We start from the raw sequence: 9,606 nt of genomic DNA on the forward strand, positions 1-9,606 counted from the left end.
CTAAGAGTTGGCGAACTGTGGCCTGTGGTCTGTTTTGTTATATATTGTCTATGGCTGCTTTAGCGCTACAACAGGAGAGTTGAATAGTTGTGACAGAGACCTCATATTTACCATCCAACCCTTTAAGGGTATTTGCTGATTTCTGCAGTATTGTGTGAGTATACCACAATTTATTTTTCCATTCTTTTGTTTTTTGGAGTTCCGGGTTGTTTACACCTTTGGGCTATTACAAACAACACTTCTATGAACATTCTTGTAGTGCCTCATGATGCACATGTACACTCATTTCTGTTGGGTATATCTTTAGCTAAGTAGATAATGCCAAACAATTTTTTCCCTCAATGATTCTAACAGTTTACCCACACTGGTGTTTAAGACCAGTCTGGGCAACATAGCAAGACCTCCATCTCTACAAAAAATTAAAAAATAAGCCAGGCATGGTGGCACATGTGTAGTCCCAGCTACTCCAGCAGCTGAGGCAGGAGGATTGCTTGAGCTTGGGAAGTCATGTCTACAGTGAGCTGTGACTGAGTCACTGCACTTCAGCCTGGGTGACAGAGTGAGACCCTGTCTCAAAAAAAAAATCTATTTCAATTCCTTCTTGAAATTTTCACAGTCAGCTGTGCATCTATAAACTGCCTCTACTAAGATCTTCCACTGCCACCTCAAATGCAACATGACTGCAATGAAATTGCTCTTTGACCACAGACGGACTCCCTTTGGAGTGCCCCTCCTTCTGTAAGAGGACTCATTATTTCCATAGCCACTCAGGCTCAAAACTGGGAAGTCATCCTGGATTCCTCATTCTTTCTGTCCCTTCAAATCCAGCCAGTCACAGGCTAAGTTCCTCCTTTGTAACATCTGTCATATCTACCCCTTGTATCCTATCCCTGTTACTGCCCTTCACCCACAGGTCCTCATCATCATTAGCCTTGACTTCTTGCCTCCATCCCTTCTCACTGCAATTCCACATGAATCTTCTTAAAACACTCTTCTGCATCTATCAACTACTTGTTCAAAAAGCCTTTACTGCCATTTATCTTCCATAGAATTAGGTCTTAACTCCCTGGCTAAGCCAGAACCTTCCCATTTCCCATCAGTTTAGAATCTTACTTCCTGCTTCCTCCCTAGAAAACCTCCTTTAGCTCACTGCTCTGTTCACCAGCCCTTGAACTTACTCCAATCTCTTAATCTTTTTCTGTTTAAGCCACTTTCTTCAAGGGTCAGTTAAAGTCCTAACTCTAGTTCCAACTGATCCTACTCAAAATTGATTTCTCCTTTTTCTGATACTTGTTGTAGCACACTATTTCCTCCACATGTACCTTGTATTGTAATTTTTTGTTCATTCACTCATTCAACAAAGAATATTGACCATCACTCATATTCCAAACATCGTGCTGGACACAGGGTGTACAAAGATGGAGATGATATAATTCCTAACCTTGATGAGTTCATGACCTTGTCCAGTTTGACCGAGTTGAATACAAAATATCCGAGGGCAGAAACTGTCTTATTCTTTTTTATATTTCCAATGCTAATCAGCATTTTTTACAGAGTACAATTCCTGTTAATGGTGATGATGAAAGACAAATAGAATTTCTTGTTCTAATAATAATGAAGCAAGCTAGAGGCTAGCAAAATTTCACTCACATTTTATGTAATTCTACCAGAAATTCAGATAAGGAAGCTACCATCCAATTTTCTGTTGGGTTTTAGTATTGTAGAACCTCTTTTTACTCATAAAGCTATAAATGCTGTAAAAATTCTTAAGGCTACTATTATTCAGATTGTTTCCTGGAATTATACAAGGAGGTAAATTAATCCTTTTGGATCACTTGTAGAGTTATTTTAACTTTTTGTTAAGAAACCCTGTAACATACTCATATACATACATCATATGCTCTCATAAACACATATAAATGGATATACTATAAGAAATCTCTAGACTATTTTGAATTTTCACTAATAAGCAGGAATAATGAATTGTTACTTTATCATAATACAGTGAAAGAAATCATTACTATACAATAATCCAGAAAAATATAAACATTTTACCAAAACCTCATTAGTGCAGTTGGTAGACTTGGCATAAAGTTCCAGAAAAATTCGGCCTACCTAGATGAAACTTTAAATTTCTTGAAAGAAGGGGCTATGTGTTTTATTTCTTTTATAGTACCTAAGATACCCAGCATAGCAGCGCAATCAGGAGCTACTCCAAACACATTTGTCGAGTTGTAGTTGCACAAACTAATAATTTTATGGCCAGAATAAGAAAAATGTGTATGAACCTTTGAAGAGAACATATAAGTAACCAATACTTGATGATTATGTATCAGAGGGGAAATGCAGGAATTATTTTAATGACCTCAATAGGTTGGTCAAAAAGCATCCTGCAGGAGCTGGGTTTAAAGGAGGAATGTGGAGACAGAGGGTATTCTCAGAGGAAGGATCATAACAGTTAATCTTTATCAAGTGCTTACTAACTGCCAGATACCTTTCCAAGTAGATCATCTTATATTAGGTCCTTTGATCCTTAAAACAACTCTGTGACGTCAGCACCATGAGAATACCCATTTTATAGATGAGGAAACTGAGATAGAGCAACATTTACAAATTTGCCACAGTTTTCAGCCTAGATTCAGGACCCCAAAACTATGACTCCAGAGTTTTGTATGCTTCAAGTCTATGCTATGATTTCTCCTATAGAGATGTAAATAATGATTCAAAGGCCAAAAAGAAAAAGAAAAGTGTGGGGAAGGGAGAGGGAGAGAGACAGAGACAGAGAGATAAGGAGAGAATGGGAGGTGTAAGTTGTTTTGTTTTCTGGGTGGAGCTTTGAAAGTGATATATAATTGAATGGAAAATAAATAAGTTGTTCTAGAAAGTTATAACCACCATAATGCAGGACAGGGCACTGTGGATTTTCAGAGGGTCTCCTCCTCCTGCCCCCATTGGATCTACTTTCTGTGCCATGGCCTCTATTTGGAAAAAACAGAGGAAAATAATGTAAGAGACAGGCTCATCATGAGCACACACAGCTGTCACCAGGCCATTTTATTTCCTGAAAGGTTGCTCATTCCATGGTGGCCTCTGACAGGCAGGAGGTGCCACTATTCAAGCCTCCTCCCAGCAACCCAGGACAGAATTACCGGTGCCAAACAGAAAGCTGGCATGTTTTAACCCACCCATGACCCACTCCTATATACACTGGAGTGGCAGCCGGAGGTCAGAGACAACAGAAGAGCAGCAGGGAAACTATGACCTGGAAGGTAGTTTGCGGAGTTGGGCTGATGCTGAGTCCTGGCTTCTGAAGCAAAGGCAATGGGGAAGACAGAAACAAAGAAAAAACTAAAACAAAAACATGGGGAAAAATTGGAGCGCAATGGGGCACCAGGAGACTAGGCGCCTGTACCAAATAGGATCCAGGTGCAGCTTTAAAGTATGTGCCTGCTTTATGTGTTAACATTTGCACACTCTGCCCATACTTAAACTTTTACAGTGTAATACTCTGTTATCTCTTCTAAGCACCTAGAGTGGAAGGTAGAAATTATACTCCTTTCACAGAGAGAAGGGCTTCTGAGAATAACAAAACCCAAGTGACTTTTGAATAAAGCTGCAGATCTTTCTGATTCAAGGATGACTGCATTTATACAAATTTGTTTGAGATGTTAACATTGTTGGAAGGAAATGAATCAGAAAAACTTTTCAAGTTACTTTAAACCCTATGATCCTACAATGGGTTGTGCAGAGAATCCTAAAGTACAGATCAAAATGGTTCTGACCTAAATTCATGAATACACAGTGTTTCAAGGTTAAGGAGAGTATGTGTCTGTCTCCTATGGATGTACAGAAACGAGTCCTAAAAAAAAATTGATGAGGAAAATCAATGGTGTGAACATAGCACCACATTACAAATATTTTCTCAAATGAAGGTTTTTGAAAAAGTATAGAAAAAATTCAAACGGTTGTTTGGTTACTTCTCTGATAATTGCTATTATCTTAATCCATTTTTAACATTCATAATTTAAAAGAAAATTAAGAAATTAAGAATATTAATTTTTTTCTTTTGGTAGCCTTAGCTTTAAACAAAAATAGGATATGAACATGTTAAAAGTCTATGTACAGATTTTGTGTATGTCCCTGGAAGGGAGTTTGTTTGCTGGCCAGCTTAATTTTTGACAAAGAAAAATGGGCTGCTCTTGCTTCTTGCACAAAGATGCACTGTTTCTAGAGCAAAGCAAAAAAAAAAAAAAAAAAAAAAAAGAAAAGAATGTGTGTAAACAAAAAATTTGGAAAAAAATTAAGATAATATTCAACATGATAATTTAGTATAAACTTTTTGTGAATTGATAAAATGTGTGGCTCATTAGAATTAAAAATATAACTATAATAAGAATTTTACTAATATCTGATAACTTTAACAGCAAGCAAAGCACTCTAAATTTCATTTTTACTACTTCATAATTAAAGATATAGCTTTTTTAAAAAGCTGCTTTGTCTGTGCAGTTGTACAGTACTCTAAAGTTTCCAAAAGAAATGAGGCAAAGTATTTGTGAAATCGAGCCACCTCGATTCCTTCCACAGAGCTGCCATCTGGGCTTGTTTATTTGTGTTTCCAACTTTCTGGAACAGAGAGTTTCTCTGTTAGGGACAGGGCACTGAGCAAAGGAAGTGTCTTACAGAAGGCTATCTTTTTTTTTTTTTTAACTACATTTTCAAAACTTATAGTTTAGTTTGGTCAAAAATATCAAATGACTACCATAATCACAGAGTCTAACACAATTGGAAGCCTCAGAATTGTCTTAGCAAACACTCTTCCACGATATGATGCAAGTAATATTTACTACATAATACCTTATTGTGATTTTCAAATCTTTTTCAAAATACAAACTGTCACTAAGGCTATATAGCTATTTGTCCTGGAAATCAAGCATTTTTCATAAATCCTTCTATAAATAAGTATTTGATTTAAAAATGAAAGAAGTATTTCCAAGCAATTTCCCTAATTTTAGAAGGTACATATGAGCCATGTTACCAAAATACGAAGCAATCAACAAAACAAAAATCTTACAAAGTATAATTAAGAAGCGAAGCATTATTGTTTGAATATACAATCTCATTATGAAGAACAGTTTAAAAATTTATTAAGTCAACACTTAAAAATGACTAGTAGTCTCATCTCTGAAACATTTAACAAACAAAATAGAAGCAAAAAGTACCTTGTAGAGTAAAATCCAGCAATACATATTCGTAAGCAAATTCTGTCTTTGTTTCCACTTGCGGTCTCTTCAGGGTAGAAAATATTTTTCCAGGGCTGCTATCATCAGGGTCTTCTAGCTTTCTAAGTCCGCACCCCATGGCAAAATCTGTAAGGAATTAAATTGCAGGAAAGGGGAGGGAGAGCAGCAAATTCTGTTGTTTAAGCTGCAAAAAGAAAGTTACAGACTTAACTGCTTTGATTTTGTTTTCAGCTAAACTATAGATAACCAAAAAAAAAAAAAAAAGCAAAAACCAAAAAAAAAAAAAAAACCCAAAAAAAACCATCTGGGTCCAAAGAAAGGAGTTGAAGAATTTTTCTATCCATTTTTCTGTAAAGTCATTGAACCCATGATTAAGCTACAGCTCCAGGAGGCTGGGCTTGATCTTAGAGAAACATGCAAGCTGCTACAACTTAGCGGAGAATTTCCATGCCACGTCAATTTACAGCCAGCCCCCTACCAGAGTTCTGTCGCTCAGGGCACCAGCGGTGCTTTGTCTATTCCAGTTGGCTGGATGATAAAAAGAGGTGTCCAAAAACGGAAATAAAAAGGCAAAAGGGCAACTTGGATGTAATTATCTACAAGTAGAAGATATATTCAGACATAGTGGCACACAATTCTTTTTCTGTTTTCCCTCTCCTCTCTGTCCTGCGCCTACCCTCCTTCCTCTCAACTACTACCAAGAAAGAAAAAGGAGAGAGAGAGAGAGAGGCAGTAGGGGGGTGGAGAGAGAGACAGAGAGAGAGAGGGAAAAAGAGAGAGAGAGAGTGAAAGAGAGAGAGAGAAAGAAAGAAAGAGAAAAATGAAAAGAGTGGATTCTCAACATATTTAGAAACAAAAATCATTTCCAGAAAGGAAGTCAGCTTTATGAGGAAACTATTTCTGGAGTCTAAAAGGAGGAAAGTAAAGTTTAAAAAAACAGCCCTTTAAGTCTTTAGTTAGTACTTTTGAGGATTTCTTTCCATATGAAGTTTCTTTCTGTTGGAAAAAATCATATGCTAATTAAAACAGCAAAGTATAAAAAATTTATATTAAAATATTTTTATAAAAAAGACTTTACTTAATTGCAAAGGAGAGACAGTTATGTGTGTAATTAGTTTCCCCAACATCCTTAAATAGTTTAAAACACTCTACTATTAGAAGGCTTATGATAGCAACTAATACTTCTATAGGTCTCAAAGTATCCTTAATTAAAAAATAAAACAAAACTGACAACTTGATTCATTTAATTTTTTTTTTTTTGAGATGTGGTCTTGCCTGTCACCTAGGCTAGAGTGCAGTGGCAAAATCATGGTTCACTTCAGCCTCGACCTCCCGGGCTCAAGCCATCTTCCCACCTCAGCTTCCCAAGTAGCTGAGACCACAGGCTTCAATGTGATTGAAAAAATTTTTCAGGCTTGTATTCTCTAGAATCTCAACTGTGATAAGGGTTTATTTTGTAAATAATGGAAGCAGTGGCAGAATCACATGCAACCACATCTGGCTCATTTTTGTATTTTTTTGTGGAGATAGGGTCTCACTATGTCACCCAGGCTGGTTTTGAAATCCTCAGCTAAAGTGATCCTTCTGGATCGGCTTCCCAAAGTACTGGGATTACAGGTGTGAGTCACTGCACCAGGGCCATTCAGTCTTATAAACTGCCATTTACCGGAGGTCAAGAATAATTTATAATGGACCAATTGTAATGAACGTTTATTGTATTTTACCCTTTACAGGTCAGGAAGTATGGTGCGCTCATCAAAACTGTGAGCCCTGGAATCAGGCTGCCTGGGTTCAAATCCTGCTTCTTAGGCCTACTAGAGATGTAATCTTGGGCAAGTTACTTGACCTCTTCAAGTTTCAACTTCCTCCCCTGTAAATGGTACTTACTACATAGGCTTGTTATGAAGGCTGAATGAGATAATCTTATCTCATATGTTAACACTAGGCCTGGCTAATAGCACAAAATACATTTGTTGATGCGTGTACGTTATAAAACAGGTTGGGAGTAGGAATAGGAAGGAAGTGATTCTGCCACTGCTTCCATTATTTACAAAATAAACCCTTATCACAGTTGAGATTCTAGAGAATACAAGCCTGAAAAATTTTTTCAATCACATTGAAGCCTGAGCATGAAAACTCTCAAAAGGGGGATGGATCCTTTATTTTATAGATCACTATTACCTTTTTTCTTTTCCTACTGCCTCCTTGCCTTTAAATGTTTTATTTCTCAGAAAAGTCTTAGAGAAAAATTCCACAGTCTTTCATGCTCCAGGATGAGCACTGTCGGTGGTAAGCAATTTGACTAAAAAGACAGCCAACTCTGACCCAGTGTGACTCATCTGACTGTTCACAGTACTTTCATGCCTGTCATTTTCCGTATCCTCTTTGGTATGGTGGGCTGTGAGGTCCTGTATGGCAGAAATGGAATCTTTGAAGGTCACTAGCATCTACTGAAGTGCCTGGAAGATTATTTAAGTACCCATTATATTTATTAAATGCATGCTATATTCCAGCCACTGAACTAGGTGCTGGTACAAAAGATAATTAAACATGCCCTCTGCCCTAAAGAAACTTATAGTGTAATGGGGAATACAAACTTATCTGCAGATAATTTCAATGTAATTTGGTAGATGCTGAAATAAAAGTATGCAAAAGATGCTATAGAAACTCAAGATGGGGCCTCTAACTCAGCCTGGAGGATGATGTCTGAGTTGTCCTCAAGGATAAATATTTTTAAGGTGATAAAGAAAGGTGGGTAGCATGTGCCAGAAGAGAAAAGCATGAGCAAAATCATGGAATCATGAAAGAGTATGGCATGTCGAAGGAACACGAAACAGTTGACAATTACTAGAACATAAAAAGTGAGAAAAGACTAAGCTGTAAGGGAGGCAAGGGGTAAGCTGTAATGAACTTGTCTACCATACAAAGGGAATTTGGACTTTATTTTGTAGGCAACAAAGGTGAATCAAATAATCAAATGGAATAATCAAGTGAGGAGTCTGAAGTAGGCAAGTGATATCAGTTTGCCTTTTAGATTGGTTACTGTGGCTGATTTCAGGAAGATGGTTTTACTTAGAGCAAGAATGGAGACCAGTCAAGAGGGTAAATGCAATAGTCCAGTAGAGAGCTGATGACTGAACGAATGTGGTACATCAGTAGGTCCTTAAGGAATTATTTTTACCTTTAGGAAAAGGAACTATAGTTTCTTAAGTTCATAATTGAACAATCACTTAAGTAATTTTCTCCTCCAAATTCTAACAAAATAAAATTTAATTAGACTCTTACAATATTTTTAAAACATTTTCATTTATCAATATGGCACACATTCCTGCTATTTTAACAATTACATGGGATTTCACTGCATTAATACAATGCTTACCAAGTAACATTTTGGTCATTTTCAAACTTCTACTGTGAAGATTTTTCTAAGGGTTACTTTTTTCCTCACTTTGGATTATTTCCTAAATACTTAGATTCTACTTCATAAATGGTCAAGTAGTTTACATACAAGAAACCAGTTAGAGGATGGACACAGTGGTTCATGCCTGTAATCCCAGCACTTTGGGAGGCCAAGGCAGGAGGATCACTTGAGGCCAGGAGTTCAAGACAAAGAAATCAGTTACGAAGCAATAAGCAGAGAAAATGCATTCTAATGGCTAAATAACTCATGTGTATTACTTATCTAAATATGTGGTTGGCCATAAAACTGTTTAAGGTATCAATCTTATATATTTTAAGTTTTATCAGTTGTTACCACATATTTTGCCTATATCTTTTATGCCTATATATTTATATAAAAACACTTGCATTCAAAAATTTTTCTCTGATGGGTGCAGTGACTCACACCTATAATCCCAGCACTTTGGGAGGCCGAGGTGGGCAGATCACTTGAGGTCAGGAGTTCCAGACCATCCTGGGCAACATGGTGAAACCCCATCTCTGCTAAAAAAAATACAAAAATTAGGTGTGGTGGTGCATGTTTATAGTCCCAGCTACTCGGGAGGTTGAGGCATGAGAATTGCTTGAACCTGGGAGGCGGAGTTTGCAGTGAGCCGAGATGGCACCACTGCACTCCAGCCTGGGCAACAGAGTGAGGCTCTGTTTCAAAAAAAAAAAAAATTTTTTTCTGCCTCTCCTTTGTGTCCTGAAGAATAATCTGCATCTCTTCACTAGTGTATTTCTCTTTTTGGAACAAATATTGTTTTCTGTTAGTTTTTAAAAAATTAATATACTTTTTTTAAGAGCATTTTTAGGTTCACAGCAAAATTGAACAGAAAGCAGAGAATTCCCATATGCTCCATTTTCACACATGCACAGCTTCCCCTACTATCACCATCCCACCAGAGGGACATATTTGTTACAATCG

At 37.1% G+C, this 9,606-nt stretch overlaps 1 protein-coding gene across 6 annotated transcripts in view; it reads right to left on the reverse strand.

Annotated features, from left to right (window-relative positions):
• RFTN2 (raftlin family member 2) overlaps positions 1-5,487 on the reverse strand; it is a 107,364-nt gene extending 101,877 nt beyond the window's left edge. For all 6 annotated transcript variants that reach the window (XM_017003332.3, XM_011510598.4, XM_011510597.4 and 3 more), the window contains exon 1: positions 5,220-5,487. In XM_017003332.3, the coding sequence (XP_016858821.1) occupies positions 5,220-5,358 (139 nt within the window). In that variant the 5' untranslated portion in view covers positions 5,359-5,487. The remainder of the gene's footprint in view (positions 1-5,219) is intronic.
• Between the last annotated feature and the right edge of the window lie 4,119 nt (positions 5,488-9,606).

The sequence above is a fragment of the Homo sapiens genome, chromosome 2, assembly GCF_000001405.40.
Source record: "Homo sapiens chromosome 2, GRCh38.p14 Primary Assembly".
Taxonomy (NCBI): Eukaryota; Metazoa; Chordata; class Mammalia; order Primates; family Hominidae; genus Homo; species Homo sapiens.